This window comes from Homo sapiens, chromosome 13 (assembly GCF_000001405.40).
Source record: "Homo sapiens chromosome 13, GRCh38.p14 Primary Assembly".
Lineage (NCBI taxonomy): Eukaryota > Metazoa > Chordata > Mammalia > Primates > Hominidae > Homo > Homo sapiens.
The window spans coordinates 46,382,036-46,400,680 of NC_000013.11; the positions used below are offsets into that span (position 1 = coordinate 46,382,036).

Below are 18,645 nucleotides of genomic sequence, written 5' to 3' on the forward strand. Positions count from 1 at the left end.
AGCAATCCTCCCAGTTCAGCCTCCCAAAGTGCTGGGATTATAGGCAAGAGCCACCATGCCTGGCTAGACTTGTACACTTTAAATCAGTGAAGCATTTGGCATGTAAATTCTATCTCAATCTCAGTAACAGTATTTTTTAAAAAATAAGAATAGGAAATGCTCATCTCCCTTCAAAAAGATCTAGAACTAAAGGGAGCTGTATTTCATGGGCTACAGGGATCAAAAGAGCACAAGCTACACACCAGGCTGTGAACAAAAATACTGAAAGGATAGGAGAAAGTTAAAAGGAGAAGTAGAGAGTAGATACGGGAAATACTGAATAAATGTGTCAAAAATAGGTAAGGAGAAGAAAGAGGAAGTAAAAGTGAAATTGTCATGATAGAACTATCTAGAAAAGGAAAAGAAAAAAAAAAATCAAGGGCTGGTAAAGACAACAGATGACCACTAGCAATTGAGCACCTACTGTCAGACCCTACCCTAAGGAATCCAGACATCCAAGATTATCTTCTTTTTTGAGACAAAGTTTCGCTCTTGTCACCGAGGCTGGAGTGCAGTGGCATGATCTCAGTTCACTGCAACCTCTGCCTCCCAGGTTCAGGCGATTCTCCTTGCCTTAACCTCCCAAGTAGCTGGGATTACAGGCGCCCACCACCATGCCCGGCTAATTTTTTTTGTATTTTTAGTAGAGACTGGGTTTCGCTATGTTGGCCAGGCTAGTCTCGATCTCCTGACCTAGTGATCCACCCGCCTCAGCCTCCCAAAGTGCTGGGATTACAGGCATGAGCCACCGCGCCTGGCCTATCCATGCTTATCTTTCAACCAGTGCTGCAAGAAGGCTCTAAGGCCAAGATTTACAGATGATAAACAAGGTAAAAAAAGTTAAGTATTGTGGTTATGTTTTAAGTGCCTATTTTTTAGAAATATATATACAGAAGTATTTAGAAATAACTGATAGAATGTCAGTGGGGACGATAAATAGAAATAATTGGTAGAATTTCTTAAATTTGCTTTAAAATAATGCCAGTGGGCAACATGGATGAAGCACAACTGGCCATGTTGATAACTGCCGAAGCTGGGAGAAGGGAGAAGGTTGTTCATTGTACTATTCTATGTTTAAGTTTGAAATTTTCCATTAAAAAATTCCCGTTTAAGTTTTCTAAAAACCTTCAATTTGCTACATCTGTCCAGGAGTCCCTAGGTTGCCTATCTGACCTCCTTATCTGCTACCTGGACACCTCTATGCCCCTCTACCCATACTCTCTTGTGGATCTTTATTCAAATGAAGACCTTACCCATCACCTTCAAACTGAGACCTTTCCCATCACCTATGACAAAACCACATCTCTACAGATAACCACTCTCTCCATGTACTGCCCCATAGCCTTCTCTACAGCATTCATCTTCTGACACCTTCCTCCTCATCAATTCATAACTAATGCTTATATGACATTTACTTTGTGCCTGGCACAGTTCCAAATTTTCTACACACACACACACATCATTTCCTTATGCCTTGATTAGGTCAGAATCCTTCATGGTGCTTCAGATTATTAGCAACCTAGCCCAGCCCCCAACAAAAATGAACTCTCTTGGTTTCTACACAGCAACATCCAAAGGGCAGCTGGAGGATGGGGGTAGGGTGAAGACTATTAAAGCTATCTTGATTAAGAAACAGTCAGTATATGAGCCAAACCCACAAGTCCAGGTGGCACTGTTTGGAAAAACAGAAAGCAAGAAAACTATCATCTGTAATTTCACAGTATAATAGACGACACATGGAGTGAATAATGAATTGTTTCTGCTATACTAAGACACATAGCCAGCCTACTTGAGGAGCTATTTTCAAATGACCAAGACCCAGGAGGCCCAGGCTAAACTAATTTAGCCCTAATTCTACAAGCACAGCGGTGAACAGAAGATCTTTAAATCTTGTGGACTCAAATATCTCTTCAGAATATTAATATTCACACAGCATGCAGCAGACTGCCTATACCTTGGCAATGCTAATGACATTGACATGTCTACCTCCCTGAGCCCAGATCACCATAAAACCAAGCCTAAACTAAAAGTGAGCAACCAAAAAACCCCCAGATTTTTATATAAGTCATGGGACGAATAAAATGATTTAACAATTGAGCCATATTTTTAAAAATACTTGCAAAATATGCATATAGATAAGTGCTAGTCCCTTCACTTAACAAACTTAAAAGTCCCATGCCAAAAACTTCTAAGAATCATTTCCAAGTAAATACAGAGAGAATAGGGAAGTGCCCTAAACATATTTTTGGAATTCAGTTCTTTTCTGATCAACTCTAGCTTGTCGGAATAAAAGAACGTAAAAAAGTATAAGAAGAATACATTTCTTTATAAGAATAATACAATACCTTTGAATACAATTCTTCTTATACTTACTCTATAATTGTACTTACTCTACAGTTTTCTGCAAACGTACTTACTCTACAATTTTCATCATCTAAAATCAACCAGCAAACAGTACCTGCTTACTGTGGGTGCTTTTCAACGTTACCTGTTAAAAAAAAACGTTGAGGTCTAATTTACATTTACTTCTTTTAATAAATATAAAGCTAAGGATCATTGGAATGAATGCATTTTTGAACAATTTTTCAACATAATTGTTGGAAAAATCACATTAAGTGTATAGTTTATTCTAACTTCTATTCATTTTCCAGCCTACTGATGACAAAAAGGCTTGAATCTGAAACTTTTCTTTCTACACTCTGAGAAGTATTTTACCTTTACGGAGCAGACTTTGGGCTCAGTAGAAACAAAGGATTCATTCAATGTAGAATTATTATCATCATTTTACGGGTTAGAAAAGGAAGTAAAGTGATGACCACATAGCCACTCAGCAGCATGCTCAAGTCCAAACCCTGGAACCTTGTCCATAGCCCCTAGTCTCACCATCCATGTTGCCTCCGTGTGTGGGATAAAAGACAATGCAAAAGTTAAAACACTCGCACACACAGGACCCAATTAAATATAATTTTAACGCCAATCTGAGAAAAATGACTTATTAGCTGTGTGATTTTGAGCAATGCTCTTAACCTCCCCCATGAAGGATGGTGTGAGAACGAACAGAATTGTAGCACGTGTATCAGTCTGGTACACAATGTCCTATGAAGGTTAGCTTTATTATCACCATCATTATTATTGCAGAAAGACTTTCAGTTCAGAATAAGACAGCACAGTTACAGAGACCTGGTTTTATTTTCCAGCTTCTTAACTGAGTCATCTTTCAGCTCCTTTTAATTAAAAAGAAAAAACAATCAGAGATCTAATTGGGTATCAGGAAGATACACAATATGACTAACAGGCACTAATATTACTACACTTATAGTCTCTGGAAGGCTGGACATACTTATCCAAGAACTGCCTAAATTTTTACAATGACACACCATGCTAAATCTTCCATATTAGAAATTCCATATTTCTCTCCATACTAGAAATAATCGTTCCATATTAGAAATAAGAACGTAGATTTGGTAACAAGGGAAACTATTCAAATTTGCCAGTGCTATTATTTGTGTGCCTTCAGATGGGTGGGGAAAAAATGTGTCAGCAAGCAATGCAGCCTTTCTTTAGTTTTTTACTTATCCTCTAAAGATCATGCAAAAAAAAAAAAAAACCAACAAACGTTTACTCTTGGATGTTTAACCTTGGCTCCGACAGAATGTTCCTTGTATCAAAAAACAAGAACTCAGCCAACAATGTTTTTGTTGTTAAACGGTTGCATGAAGACTATGTCCAGTCAAATCTAACCCCTCACCCCGCTCCAAGGCTATGACCCTCAATTTTCATCAAAGTTCCTACCATCTCCCACTTTGTAAAGGCCCTAAAGAAGTTAATGAAGAAGGCAAAGTTCCTGTCCTCTGCTGTCACTCAGTAATGAGCAGTTTCATGTGGCAGTGCAGAAACTGGGGTTTGAGAAACAGAGGTGTCCTGACACTCTGGACCGGTAATCACGAAAACCCCAGCACTGCCATAAAGATGCTGTCTTAACTCGGCTCCAAACAAAGTTCTGTCGGCGGCCGGCAGTGTTTCAGTGGGCAGCAATGTGGTGATACCTTCACAGGATACTTTATAGGCTTCAAAACACTTCCCTCCCTCCAGGCCATTAACCTTCTAAACCACACAGTGGGGTATGGCTGGAGTATTCTCCCCCTGAGGCAAGGGAACTGAAGTTCAAGAAGGTTTCTTGACTTGCCAAGATCTCCCCGCTACTTTGGCTTTAAGAAACTGGGTCTAAGAAACTCAAGCTTACGGATTCTCTGTTCTCTGCGCGCTCCCACCACATCTTCAATTCAAAGATCCTTCCAAATTCCACAGAAATAACCCAGTAAGGGCAGCTCTTGAGTATACCTTTTCCTTTGAGTCTTAATTTTCACTCAAGGCGAAATAACCCCTCCTCTGAAAGTTCTCCACGTTTTCCAAGCGGACAGCATCAAGTTCGCAGGGGATCTGTATCAGTCTCAGCAGGTGGACTTCACAAGGGGCGGGTTGGGGGAACGCCCGCCTGACCGTGTCCGGCGTGGCGGGGGGTTGGGGGCGAGAAGAGTGGGGGTTGCTATGTAGGGCGCCCGGACCAAATAACACGCCGCGATTTCACACTCCAGCCTAGCTCAGTTATGTAGCCAAATGTTTTTCTGTCACCACATATCCACGACTTTGGCTGTGTTGAGGACGAAAACAGAGAAAAGACACTGATCCCAGAACACTGCGCCTGGGAGGACGCAGGGCGCAGGCTTTGTAGTCTCTGAGAATCGCCCTGCGTAAAAGTGTCCTGAGGTCCCGCTTCTGCGCCCTTCCCGGCCCAAGCCGAACACAGGGTCAACCTCACTCTACAAAGTCAACCGGATAGAAATCCGCCACCCCGCGAGGAGCCCCTTCCTACTGTCTCCAAGGGGTCCCCGACACTGCTCTGAGCGACCCTAAGATACCTGGGTGTCTCTGCTGGGCACAAACCTCTCTGGCGCCACTTCCACCATCCAACCTCTCCCGCGGCCCTCCCTTCCCTTTCTCCAACCACCCTCTCCACCCCGCGCCGCTCCCATCTCGCCCCCGGCCCCGCCAGCCTCACCCAGCCAAACCCGAGCGGTGGAACGCTGCGCTGGGTAAACGCCGCGCGTCGGGTCCTCCCTCGCGCGGCTCCGGGCAGCGTTCCGTGGCCACCGCGCTCCCGGTAACAGCAGAAAGGGGAGGGAGGAGAGCTACCGAGGAGGGGACAGCGACGCCCCGACGCCGCCACGCCCCCCGCCTCCCACACGGGGGCCACCGTAGCTCTCTAGAAGCTCCTCAGGGAAGCAAAGCGCCGTTCCCGCCGCAGGCACCGAGACGTCGCCCAGATGGAAGAAACTCTGGAGATGCGCGCTCCTACACCGGTGCCGCGGCGCCCGGGCCCAGCACCACGCACCTATGCGCGCCTCTGCCGGTCCTCCTAGAAATCCCGCCCTGCCTACCCGCGGCGCGAGACGCAACGACGCTTTCAGGGGTCAAAGACCTGGCAGAAATGACTTCCCAACCCCAGATGCCCCCAGCAGCAGTATTTAGCAGTCATACAATTGCCTGAAATGAAGAATGAGTAATCTGGATGAGTCGGCCCTGAAATCGACCTGCAACTTACCCGGAACGTGAGCTGTCTCTCTCTGACCTCTGCTGGCTGCTTCACCTGGAGTCTGAGTCCGACTCATGTAGCACTTCACTGTCCGCGTTAGTTTAGCCTTCACTGTCAGCAACTCGTCACCTTGTCCTCTTGCAGCGAAGGTTTGGAATCCCATCACGGGTGTGCAGTGGTTAGTCCTGAGATCATGGTGGTGCTAGGAGAACCTGCCAACCAATACAGAAAGTTGTCACGAATAGAAACCTAAGCTCTGGCCGGGTGCGGTGGTTCAAGCCTGTGATCCCAGCACCTACTTTGGGAGGCCAAGTCGGATGGATCACTTGAGGTTAGGAGTTCGAGACCAGCCTGGCCAACATGGTGAAAGCCTGTCTCTACTAAAAATATAAAAATTAGCCGAGCGTGGTGGCGGGTGCCTGTTATGCCGGCTACTAGGGAGGCTGAAGCAGGAGCAACCCGGGAGGCGGAGGTTGCAGTAAGCCGAGATCGCGCCATTGCACTCCAGCCTGGGCGACAGAGCAAGACTGTCAAAAAAAAAAAAAAAAAAAAACAGAAAGGAGAAGAAGGGAAGGAGGGAGGGAGGGAGGAAGGCAGGCAGGCAGGCAGGAAGGAACCCAAGGGAGGGAGGGAGGGAAGAAGGAAGGAAGGAAGGAAGGAACCTAAGCCAAGGAAGGAAGGAAGGAAGGAAAGCAAAGAAAGGAAGGAAGGAAGGGCGAAGGAAGGAAGGAATCTAAGCCAAGGAAGGAAGGAACCTAAGCCCAGGAAGGAAGGAAAGAAGGAAGGAAGGAAGGTAGAAGGAAGGAAGGAACCAAAGCCAAGGAAGGAAGGAAGGAAAGAAAAGTAGAAAGGAAGGAAGGAAGGAAGGAACCTAAGTCCCAGAAGGAAGGGAGGGAGGGATGGAGGAAGGAAGGAAGCTAAGCTCTCTCTCGCGGTGCCCTGACTTCTCCCGGGGAAGGACCTCTGAGCTGCCTGCACTGGTAATGACACGTAGGTGAACCGGTCCTGGCTTTCTTAGAAGATTCCCTGCTGCATAAAACCAAATCCCGTTGCACTTTCCTGGGTTCCTTGGCTTTGTCCTTTGTCATTTCCAGGATGGAGCAGAGGCACTGGTAATTTGGCTTTTACTTGCCTGGTACCTCTGGCATGGAGTGGCTAAACGGTGGCACCATGTACTAGTTGCTGCCATCTTCAGATAAAATATTGAATCAATATGACAAAAGTCAGATGAATACTAGCTGCCAATTACCCTGCTTCCCTTGGGGGCAGCCTGTTTGGAGCATAGACCAGCTTTGACCTGCAAGAACTCTGGATATTTGGAATATTTAAAATTCCAAATACAGTATCCCAGGAATTCAGGTCAGCTGAAGGCCGATTGGGAAGGGCTTACCTTAAATGAATCAGAAAGAAAAAGGTGTGGGTGTGTGCTAACATTTTTTGAGTATCGGCTATGTGCCAGGTACTTTTTCTTATTATTTTAAGCAAGTCTGTGAACATCCCTGAGAATAACAAATCATTTGTTCCCATTTCGCAAGGGGGAAATCTATGACTTAGGTTCAAATAACTTGCCCAAGGTCACAGAGCTAATAGGTAGCACAGTTAGGCTTTGAAGGCAGGTGTATCTGACACCAAACCCTATGTCCAATTTCCACCATACTACCAGCAAGATGGAAGAATAATGAAATAAAGGGACCAGGCAAGAGCCAGTTTCAGGAATACTTAAAGGGAAAGAGGAGTCAGGAGGAACTTAGAGAAAGAATCTTGAAACAAGAGGAAATGTCATGCCAGGTAAATCAGTGAGTCAAAAACCAGAAACAGCTGTACTAGTTGGCAGACTGGACATAGTCCAAGGCAAGAAAATCGTTTTTGTAGGGAGATTAGGATATTTTGGACCAAGATTGTGGGCTTTAGTCATCCCCTCTGAAGCCACTCTGAAATCACCTTTCTCAAAACTGCCATAAGGCAGGCCTAGGCACTATCACGTGGACATCCTACTAACTCTGAGTATAGACCTTCTACATCTCGTCACAGACGCAGGAGGTTCACATTCTGAAAGAGCATCTCTAGGACTAAGGAGAAACATTCAAGGACAGGTTTTTCAAGTTAGGAATGCTCACTGGAAATCTGCTCTGTCCCCTCTGGGATCTGGAAGTAGAATTTCCCAAGCACTAAATGCTGAGGCGTGGACTTTCCAAGAATTTCCTGATTGGTTAATTCTGAGAATGTCACTGATCATTACAGACGGATCACCATGCAGGAAAAGGAGAGGCTGGTTTGGGTTTTTTCATGGGGAAGGTGAACTTCCAGATCACAGTGCCCTCCAAGACACAGGGCTTGAAAGTCATGAGTGTCAGGGACAACTCACTGTGTCAGCTAGCCCAGCCGGGCTCATGCCCAGCACCCATTGATCACACACAAAGCTCCATTGTGGCCAGGATAGCCTCATAAAAGACCGAAAGCCTAGCAGCTGCCTGCCAAAACCCAGCCAGGCTTCACAAGAAGTGATTTGTGCTGTGAGCAGAGCTTTGACCCCAGTTTTGAACTCAGCTGACAGTCAGCAAAGGGGAAACCAGTCTCTGTACAAAACAGGAAGGAAATGAGATGAAATGAACTGCATTATAAGCTACCAGAGGGTGCCTAATGGCATCTTCACCACATAGAAGTCCCAGGAAGAAAGACTGATGATTTTGCATGGGAGAGAAGCCCAGACAAGCACCAGGGAAGGAAAGAACCGAGGAAAGCTGCATTTGGCTTGGCTGTTTCTCTTCCTCCTTGCCTGACTTAACAGCCACTGTCTGCAAAAGGACACATCTGTGTGAACCCACTTGCATGAGGAGCCTAGAAGAGACAAATTCATAGAGACAGAAAGTAGAACAGAAGTTGGCAGGGCCTGGCAGGATGGGGAATACAGAGTTATTGCTTGATGGACACAGATTTTCTGTCTGGTTGATGAAAAAGTTCTGGAGAGAGATTGTAGTGATAGTTGCACAATGCTGTAAATGTACTTAATGCCACTGAATTGTACACTGAAAAATGGTTATGATAATACATTTTGTTATATTTTACCACAAATATTTATGTGTATGGTGTATGTATATATGTATATATTATTTATATATTTTATATATACATATATATGTAAAAAATATAAATGTATTATCATGATGTAATACTTCTTTGGAGTAAAAGCCCAGGTGAAAGCAATCAGCTGACAGGGCCCCTACATCTGGAAATTCTTCACTTGAATTTTTGTTCATTTCTCTTTTTAATTTTTATTTATTTATTTTTGAGATGGAGTCTCACTCTGTCACCCAGGCTGGAGTGCAGTGGCATGATCTCGGCTCAGTGCAACCTCTACCTCCCAGGTTCAAGCAATTCCTGTGCCTCAGCCTCCCAACTAGCTAGGATTACAGGCATGCACCACCACACCCAGCTAATTTTTGTATTTGTAGTAGAGATGGGGTTTCACCATGTTGGCCAGGCTGGTCTCGAACTCCTGACCACAGGTGATCTGCCTGCCTTGGTCTCCCAAAGTGCTGGGATTACAGGTGTGAGCCACCACACCCAGCCTTTTTGCTTTTAATTTTTTTTTTTTGAGACAGGTTCTTGCTCTGTTGCCCAGCCTGAGTGCAGTGGCATGATCATGACTCACTGCAGCCTCAACCTCCCAGGCTCAGGTGATCCTCCCACCTCAGCCTCCCTAATAATTGGGACTACAGGCAAACAGCACCACACCCAGCTAAATTTTTTAAGTTATTTGTAGAGATGAGGGTTTCCCTATGTTTCTCAGGCTGGTCTTGAACTCCTGGGCTCAAACAATCCTCCCACCTTGGCCTCCCAGAGTGCTGGGATTACAGGCATGAACCACTACGCCTGGCTCTATGAATGTTAATAAATCTTTGCCAGGCATGGTGGCTCACACCTGTAATCCAAGCACTTTGGGAGGTGGAGGTGGGTGGATCTCTTGAGGTCAGGAGTTCCAGACCAGCCTGGCCAACATGGTGAAACTCCACCTCTACTAAAATACAAAAATTAGCTGGGCATGGTGGCAGATGCCTGTAATCCCAGCTACTTGGTAGGCTGAGGCAGGAGAATCGCTTGAACCCGGGAGGCAGAGGTTGCAGTGAGCCAGGATAGTGCCACTACACTCCAGCCTGAGCAACAGAGCAAGACTCTGTCTCAAAATAATCAAATAAATAAATAAATCTTAATTTATTTTTCTTTCCATTTAGGGGTGCCCAGGGCCCAGCTTTTGGGTTGTTGCAGCTCCTTATTCAGAAGGAAGAGTAGTTCTGCCATTTTACTCTCTGATCCAGCTGGTGTTAAGTAGCTGGGGGTTTGTGGTGGCATAGTCAGAGATGTGGCCCTAAAAGGGACTCTTTACCTTTGAGGACTAAACTCATTTTTTTTTCTTGCCTAAATTCCTATCTAAGCGGTCTGGGGAGTCATGCCCTACAAATCATAAATTCTCATCAGATGGGTTTTATTTAACCCTGTATGTCGTGACTTACTTTCCAATCTGACTCTGGCATAACATCACGAGACAAGGAAGAAAATCAAAATATTTTACCCCAAAACGTGTTTCTTTGCCATATTTTGAAATGACCCTGCAAAGCTGTTCTTTGTGGGGGAAAATTTACATCTGTAAAAGATCTCTATTAAAATAGCTAGATCTTTTTCTTCCAGACCCTCCCAATCTAAAGAGATTAACTAGGATCTGAATAGGAAACATTTGTCATCTATTGTCTCTAAGGGCAGACACTATAAGACTTCAAAACAACTTTGGTCACCACAATTTTTATCTTAACCTGAACATTCCCTTCTTATGAATCCCAGGTTTTTAGACAAACTCAATCAATTGTCAACCAGAAAATGTTTAAATTCCCCTATAACCTGGAAGCCCCACCACCGCCGGCTTTGAATTGTCCCGCCTTTCCGGACCAAACCAACTATTTCTTCAGTGTATTTGATGGATGTCTCATGCCTCTCTAAAATGTATAAAACCAAGCTGGGCCCTGACCACCTTGGACACATGTTCTCAGGACCTCCTGAGGGCTGTGTCACTGGTCATGGTCACTCATATTTGGCTCAGAATAAATCTCTTCAAATATTTTATAGAGTTTGACTCTTTTCGTCGACACCTTTGATATTAAATCTATGCACTATTTACAAAGAGAGAGGGAGAAGGAAAGGGAGGGAATGAGAGAGAGAGAGAGAGAGAGAGAGAGAGAGAGAGAGAGAGAAATTGAAGAAATTAAAAGGATTATAGACCCAACTGACTATTTGCTTCCAGCAGCCAAGATGACCAGTTAGGACCATCCCATAGCTTCAGGCTGACCATTATCCCCAGGGTAAGCCTGTTCCTGAAAATGACTGTATGAGGGGATGTGCTCTTGGTCTGACAGATAACAAGAAGTAACCTTTGACTTTTAGTCCTTCCTCCGGTGTCTTCAGTACACAGTTGCCACTTTTCCTCTTTGAAGATGCTCTTAGCTGGACTAGTAGAACTAGAAGCTGCACCTGTCTTGTGGTCTACTTTTATGACTAACAATGTGGTATAGATAAAATCCATGGTTCCACATGAGTGCAATGGCAATCTACCGTTAGAACTAAAAACATTAAGTTGTTTGTATTCTGTCTTGCCCACTGGGTTGTGGAGCCAGGAAAACCTTACTCATTCTTGAATTTCTTCCCCATCCCCCATCCAGAACCTAGCCATGTACTTTATATATTTTAGGTGTTTTGTAAATGTTTTTAACTGCTCTCATGGCTTGTGCGGTATGATTTGAATGCCATCCTGCAAAACAGAAAGACGTTAAACTAAGATTATCCCATGCTTGGAAACAGTTAATATGTCCAAAGTTCAAAGTCTTCGTCTAACATTTATAGTGTTGTCTGAAATTTCAACCTAATTTTCAGTCTCTTCTTTCAAGCCTGCCTCAAATACCCTAAAATCCACAATAGCTACCAATTGTTCTGGGAATATTCTCCATTTTCCTACCCTCGTACCCCAAGTCATTGACCACATCTTATATTCTTCACATGTACTTCCTAGTGTTGACCCTATACTTCAGTGTTTTGTGCCTGACATTTCCTTTGTCTTGGGGGTAGCCTTGTAGCCCAGTCTAGATAATCCCCAAGTCATTTCCACATGGACTGTTTGATAAGGAAAGGCTAAAAGACTTAGATAAAATCTTAGGTGGCTAGTATGAATTTTATTCTATAACTCTGGTATCAAAAAAAAGTGACATTACCTTATTTTTCCAAAATTTCTTCTAACTCAAATGAAATTGACCTGGTATTTCCTACTTGAGTAAATGACAAGCAATGGAGTCTGCCACATGTTGGAGAGCCTTACTCTTACCCCCCTAGAGCTTCTTGAGAGCTCAGGTACTTATGGAACATCTGGGGAAAGATTTCTGGCCTTTGTTCCATCATTATCACTGCAGAAGTTCCCATTTTCAAAGCCTGTGTTAATTAGGAAGTTCTATCACTCTATGCCCAGTGTAGGTACAGGGATCCTTTGCCAAGCCCCTAGAGGTTTAATGGCTCAGCATCCAAATGCTACCCTTTCAGAGAGTCTCTTCCTCATTCAAACACCTTCTTCAAACTTCCCAGCAAAACAAACAAACAAAAAATCCCTCTCCCTTATCTCCTACCTGAAGAAGCTACCTCCCAGTCAGGCAACTCCTGCCTCTCTGCATACCGTATCTTAGAGACAAAAAAACTAAAGACAAAAATCTTTAACTCTGCCCCTTGGGACTCCCAGCCCTGCTGGCCGTCTTTCAGGAGGGGAGAGAAAAGAGGTCTCATTGATTCAGATTTTTCCACAAAGCAGTAAGAACAAAACAAAGCAATTTATTAATTATCAGCAGCCGCAAAATACAAATGAATTCCTCAATAAATTATCCTGCCACAGTGGTTCATAAATTCTAATGCACTGGTACAATGAATACCAACGGATACTGGTCTGTGACCTGAACAGAGGTTGCATCTCTATAAAGTTTATAGATCCAGCTTCTCTTGCATCAATTATCTTCACCAGCCATTAAAGTCATTCAGCTTAATGTGATGCTCTGATTTTATGCTCACCAAGCCATCTACTTAAAAGTGGACTTTCTATGTAAATTTGCTTATAGAAAGAGAAGGCATTTATGAGTGAGAACATGTGTGGTGTTTGGTTTTCTGTTCTTGTGTTAGTTTGCAGAGAATGATGGTTTCCAGCTTCATCCATGTCCCTGCAAAGGACATTAACTCATTCTTTTGTATGGCTGCATAGTATTCCATGGTGTATATGTGCCACATTTTCTTTATCCAGGCTATCATTGATGGGCATTTGGGTTGGTTCCAAGTCTTTGCTATTGTGAATAGTGCTGCAATAAACATGCGTGCAAAGTGGGAGCTGAACAATGAGAACACATGGACACAGGGAGGGGAATATCACACACCAGGGCCTGTCAAGGGGTGGGGGGCAAGGGGAGGGAGAGCACTAGGACAAATACCTAATGCATGCTGGGCTTAAAACCTAGATGACAGGCCAGACACGGTGGCTCACGCCTTTAATCCCAGCACTTTGGGAGGCCAAGGCGGGTGGATCACGAGGTCAGGAGTTCAGGACCAGCCTGGCCAAGATGGTGAAACCCTGTCTCTACTAAAAATACAAAAATTAGTTGGGCATGGTGGCAAGTGCCTGTAATCCCAGCTACTCAGGAGGCTGAGGCAGAGAATTGCTTGAACCCAGGGGGTGGAGGTTGCAGTGAATCGAGACTGCGCCACTGCACTCCAGCCTGGGTGACAGAGTAAGACTCCGTCTCAAAAAAACAAAACAAAACCAAACAAAAAAAACCTAGATGAGGGGTTGATGGCTGCAGCATACCACCATGGTACATGTATACCAATGTAACAAACCTGCATGTTCTGCATATGTATCACAGAACTTACAGTATAATTAATAAATAAAACAATTTAACTCATTCACATGTTTGCAAAGACCCTAAATAAAATATTAGTAAAGTAGCCGGGGGTGGTGGTGGGCATCTATAATCTCAGCTACTCAGGAGGCTGAGGCAGGAGCATCGCTTGAACCCAGGAGGCGGAGGTTGCAGTGAGCTGAGATCGTGCCATTGTGCTCCAGCCTGGGCAACAAGAGTGCTACTCCATCTTAAAAAAAAAAAAAAAAAAAAAAGTAAATATAGCGTTGGAATAAAAGAGAAAATACATTGAAAAAAAAAAAAAAGAGAGAGAGAAGCCATTTACCAACCAGTATGGACATTCCCACCTACTCCACTCCCCTAATGTTATATTTTTATAGTACATAGTAATAAATTATCATTCTTGCTTATATATTAATCTCTAGTGAGTTTGGTCCAATTACATCAGACCCTGTAATAAGTGGAATAATGGTCCCCCAAAGATGTCCACATTTTAATGCCAGGAGCCTGAAATTATGTTACACGGTAAGGGGGAATTAAAACCGCAGATAGAATTAAGATTGCTAGGCTGGGCACAGTGGTTCATGCCTGTAATCCCAGCACTTTGGGAGGCCAAGGTGGGTGAATCACTTGAGGCCAGGAGTTTGAGACCAGCCTGGGCAATATGAGGAAACCTTGTCTCTACCAAAAATACAAAAATTGGCCAGTCTCATAATGCAGTCTTAAAAATAAATAAACAAAAATTTAAAATAAAATATTTTTAAAAATTTTAAAAAGAATTAAGATTGCTAGTTAATCAGCTGGCTTTAAAATGAAGAGATTATCCTGGGTTATCCATATGAGCTCAATGTCATCACAAAGATCCTTATAGTAAAAGAGGGGGAGACAGGAGAGTCAGAGTCAGAGTGATTCATTGTGACAAAATTTTGACCAGCCATTGCTGCCTTTGAAAAAAATGGAAGGAGGCCATCCATGAGGCAAAGAATATGGGCAGCCTCTATAAACAGGAAGAGACTGGGAATCAGATCCTCCCAGAGCTTTCCAAAAGGAACAGAGCCCCACTGACACCTTGATTTTAGCCCTGCTAGGCTCATTTCAGACTTCTGGCCTCCAGAGCTATATGATAATACATTTCTATTGGTTTTGTTTGTTTGATTTTTTTGAGGCAGAGTCTCACTCTGTCACTCAGGCTGGAGTGCAGTGGTGTGATCTCAGCTCACTGCAACCTCCGCCTCCTGGGTTCAACTGATTCTCCTGCCTCAGCTTCCAAGTAGCTGGGATTACAGGCACATGCCATGATGCCTGGCTACTTTTTGTATTTTTAGTACAGACAGGGTTTCACCATGTTGGCCAGGCTAGCCTCAAACTCCTGACCTCAAGTGATCAGCCTGCCTCGGCCTCCCAAAGTGCTGGGATTACAGGCGTGAGCCACCGTCCCCAGCCATTTCTATTGTTTTAAGCACTAAATTTATAGTTACTTGTTACAGCAGCAAGAGGAAACTAATAGGACCCTGAGAGCCTGAATTATTTTGGTTGCACTGATGAAATACAGTTTCTGGATTTCGTATACCTGCCAAGTGGTTTCCTGGACTCACCTGGAAATATCTCAGTTTTTTTCTTTCCCTAATTATCCAAATGCTTTGAACATAATATAGGCTCTTAAAAATATCTGTTGAATCAATGAATTTTGGCTAAATATAAAGTCTGTGAGTCATGGCTGGTGTGTTTTTGATAGTTTGAAAACTTTTAGGATTAACCATTTCTCTCTCTAACGAGCTGTGAATAAATGCCTCTAATATCAACGTGATAGATCATTTTATGTGTCACTGGGATAAGAGGATGCCCAGATAGCTGGTCAAACATTATTTCTGGGTGTGTCTGTGAGGGTGTTTCTGGATAAGATTAGCAGCATTTGAATCTGTGAACTCAGTAAAGTAGGTTGGCCCTCCCCACTGTTGGGGGGCATCATTCAATCCCTTGAGGGCCTGAATAGACAGAGGAAGGAAGAATTCACCCCTTTTTCTCCGCCCCACTGCCTGAGCTAGAACATCTTGTCTCATCTCCTACTGTGCCCTTTGTTCTCAGCCCTTCAGACTTGGATTTCATTATTCCATCGACCTTCCTGGGTCTCCAACTAGCAGACAGCATATTGTGGATTTCTCAGCCTCCGTAACCTCCATGATCATGTCAGCCAATTTCTCATAATAAATCAACTTCTCAGGCGGACACAGTTGCTCATGCCTGTAATCCCAGCACTTTGAGAGGCCAAGGCGGGCGGATCACCTAAGGTCAGGAGTTCGAGACCATCCTGGCCAATATGGTGAAACCGTGTATCTACTAAAAATACAAAAATTAGCCAGGTGTGGTGGCGGGAGCCTGTAATCCCAGCTATTCAGGAGCCTGAGGCAGGAGAATCCCTTGAACCCAGGAGGCGGAGTTTGCAGTGAACTGAGATCGTGCCACTGCACTCCAGCCTGGCAACAGAGGGAGACTCCATCTCAAAAAATAAAATAAAATAATAAATAAATTTCTCTCTCTCTCATATATATAATATATAGATATAGATATATATACAAATATACATATACATGTATACACATATTATGTCTATATTATATATGTGCGTATATTTATACATACAGAGAAAGTATAGTTATATATATACATAATATGTATATATATACATATGCTTTTGTGTATATATACATACACATATACACACATATATACACAAAAGCAAAATGAGCAAAAGTCCTCAGTTTCAATATCCTATTGGTTCTATTTCTCTGGAGAACCCTAAAAATCAAGAAACTGGTAGTTAAATTATATGGACTTAACAGCAAATTTGTGAGGATAACACGTAGCTCTTTTTTCTTCTTACATGGAAAATGTGAATCATTTGAAAATCAATGCCTAGTCTTAACATACAGTAGTGACTTTCCCCATACAAGAGGAAGCTTTCTTTCTTTTCTTTTTTTTTTTTTTTAGACAGAGTCTAAAATATTTAAAAAAATATTACCCAGTAACCCAGGCTGGAGTGCAGTGGCATGATTTCGGCTCACTGCAACCTCTGCCTCCCGGGTTCAAGCGATTCTCATGACTCAGTCTCCTGAATAGTTGGGACTACAGGCACGCGCCACCAAGCCTGGCTACTTTTTCGTATTTTTAGTAGAGACGCGGTTTCACCGTGTTGCTCAGGCTGGTCTGGAACTCCTGACCTCAGGTGATCTGCCCACCTTGGCCTCCCAAAGTGTTGGGATTACAGGCATGAGCCACCGCGCCCGGCCCAGGAAGCTTTATTTCTATTTAGAGGTGTGTGGAAGCTCTTTAGGCAGTCTAGGAAGTTTAGGCAGTTTAGGAAGCTGGTGACATTCTGGTCAACACTGCTGACAACATATCATGTCCAACACTAAACACTGAGCCTGTCTGAAGAAGAAAAGACAAGTAGAGAGTTTCAATGAACCATTACAACATTTGGTCAGCTAAGAAGGGCTCCCGAGAGACCAGTTGTTACTGTCTGGTGCTAGCACTGCTGTCACAATGTCAAACCAAGTGTAAATAAAAAGGTCCCTTGAAAAATGCCATCAGTTGGAAGTTGCTGGCTTGAGAACCCTCCTGGGAAGAGATGTGCTTCTTGTATTGAGACTAGCCACACTCACTGGGCCTGTGTGGGCTTGGGGACTTTAAAGAAAAAAGTTCGGCCGGGTGCAGTGGCTCATGCCTGTAATCCCAGCACTTTGGAAGGCCGAGGCTGGTGGATCACCTGAGGTTGGGAGTTCAAGACCAGCCTGACCAACATGGAGAAACCCTGTCTCTACTAAAAATACAAAATTAGCCGGGCGTGGTGGCACATGCCTGTAATCCCAGCTACTCCGGAGGCTGAGGCAGGAGAATTGCTTGAATCCGGGAGGCGGAAGTTGCAGTGAGTGGAGGTCTCGCCATTGCACTCCAGCCTGGGCAACAAGAGCGAAACTCCGTCTAAAAAAAAAGAAAGAAAAAGAAAAAAGTTCATTGTCCCTAATTAGTGTTGTATTTCTGTGACTTTAAAGCAGTCCTATTAGTTTTTTTTTCTTTTTCTTTTTTTTTTTTTGAGACGGAGTCTCGCTCTGTCGCCCAGGCTGGAGTCAGTGGCACAATCTTGGCTTACCACAACCTCCGCCTCCCAGGTTCAAATGATTCTCCTGCCTCAGCCTCCCAAGTAGCTGGGACTACAGGCATGTGCTACTATGCCTGGCTAATTTTTGTATTTTTAGTAGAGATGGGGTTTCACTGTGTTGGCCAGACTGGTCTCGAACTCCTGACCTCGTGATCCTCCCGCCTCAGCCTCCCAAAGTGCTGGGATTACAGGCCTGAGCCACCACGCCCGGCCAGTCCTATTTGTTAAAGTGATAAAACGTGTAAGAGTTGGCAGAAATATGTGCAACACATGGAACAAAAAGAAAGCCTGGCTGGTTTGTGTTGCTGCTCTAAGTTGAGCTTGGCTGGACTATGAGAAGGAAGAGTGAGCAGCAAAGTCTGGAGATGGGAGTCTAAAACCACTTTAAAGAGCTGTAGACTTAATTCCAAGGGCAGTGGGAGCTACTTAAGGGCTCTGAACAGTGGGGCATGATCAGGTTGGAAGCCTATATTTGCATTTTTCTTCCTTGGTGATCTAATATTCCTTAAGGCAGTGCTTTCCAAACTTTAATGTGCACAGGAATTACCTGGAATCTTGGGAAAGTGCAGATTCTGACTTAGTAAGTCTCATGTGGGGCTCCAGATGCTGCGACAAGCTCCTAGGTGACAACAGGGCTGCTGAGCCCCAGACTGCTCTCTGAGTAACAAAGTCCTAGACAGAATCATTTGTGAGCCTCCCCCACGGGCTTTTTCAGAGCCTGCAAGAAAGTGAGGGAGCAGCCGTAAGGCATAGACAAAGCTCCTTTCCATCCTCAAATGGCTACATGTTTTCCTGGGGTGACCTAATTGCTCAGGCAGAGAACATTGTGGCAATGTCATTAGTCATTCCTTCTGAGCGTTTTGTGTTCTGGACCATTACTTAGACTCTGCTCTTTTAGCTCAGAACTTTGTGTCTCATCTGGCTCT

At 44.0% G+C, this 18,645-nt stretch overlaps 1 protein-coding gene across 8 annotated transcripts in view, besides 7 other annotated features; it reads right to left on the bottom strand.

Moving 5' to 3' along the window:
- RUBCNL (rubicon like autophagy enhancer) overlaps positions 1-8,007 on the bottom strand; it is a 55,362-nt gene extending 47,355 nt beyond the window's left edge. For 7 of the 8 annotated variants that reach the window (NM_001286766.3, NM_001286765.3, NM_025113.5 and 4 more), the window contains exon 1: positions 5,099-5,217. The gene's annotated coding sequence lies outside the window, so the exon portion shown is untranslated. Of the gene's footprint in view, positions 1-5,098; positions 5,218-5,641; positions 5,845-7,749 lie in introns of those variants that run through there. The other variant, NM_001286761.2, reaches the window with a different exon arrangement.
- Positions 393-442: an enhancer, noted in NCBI's record as "active region_7696". NCBI's record gives its function as "activates an Ori minimal core promoter by ATAC-STARR-seq in GM12878 lymphoblastoid cells {active_cell/tissue: GM12878}" and the evidence as "EXISTENCE:reporter gene assay evidence [ECO:0000049][PMID:35858748]".
- Positions 4,984-5,073: an enhancer, noted in NCBI's record as "active region_7697". NCBI's record gives its function as "activates an Ori minimal core promoter by ATAC-STARR-seq in GM12878 lymphoblastoid cells {active_cell/tissue: GM12878}" and the evidence as "EXISTENCE:reporter gene assay evidence [ECO:0000049][PMID:35858748]".
- Positions 5,454-5,733: an enhancer, noted in NCBI's record as "active region_7698". NCBI's record gives its function as "activates an Ori minimal core promoter by ATAC-STARR-seq in GM12878 lymphoblastoid cells {active_cell/tissue: GM12878}" and the evidence as "EXISTENCE:reporter gene assay evidence [ECO:0000049][PMID:35858748]".
- Positions 5,764-5,863: an enhancer, noted in NCBI's record as "active region_7699". NCBI's record gives its function as "activates an Ori minimal core promoter by ATAC-STARR-seq in GM12878 lymphoblastoid cells {active_cell/tissue: GM12878}" and the evidence as "EXISTENCE:reporter gene assay evidence [ECO:0000049][PMID:35858748]".
- Positions 5,884-5,993: an enhancer, noted in NCBI's record as "active region_7700". NCBI's record gives its function as "activates an Ori minimal core promoter by ATAC-STARR-seq in GM12878 lymphoblastoid cells {active_cell/tissue: GM12878}" and the evidence as "EXISTENCE:reporter gene assay evidence [ECO:0000049][PMID:35858748]".
- Positions 7,757-7,896: an enhancer, noted in NCBI's record as "active region_7701". NCBI's record gives its function as "activates an Ori minimal core promoter by ATAC-STARR-seq in GM12878 lymphoblastoid cells {active_cell/tissue: GM12878}" and the evidence as "EXISTENCE:reporter gene assay evidence [ECO:0000049][PMID:35858748]".
- Positions 8,217-8,436: an enhancer, noted in NCBI's record as "active region_7702". NCBI's record gives its function as "activates an Ori minimal core promoter by ATAC-STARR-seq in GM12878 lymphoblastoid cells {active_cell/tissue: GM12878}" and the evidence as "EXISTENCE:reporter gene assay evidence [ECO:0000049][PMID:35858748]".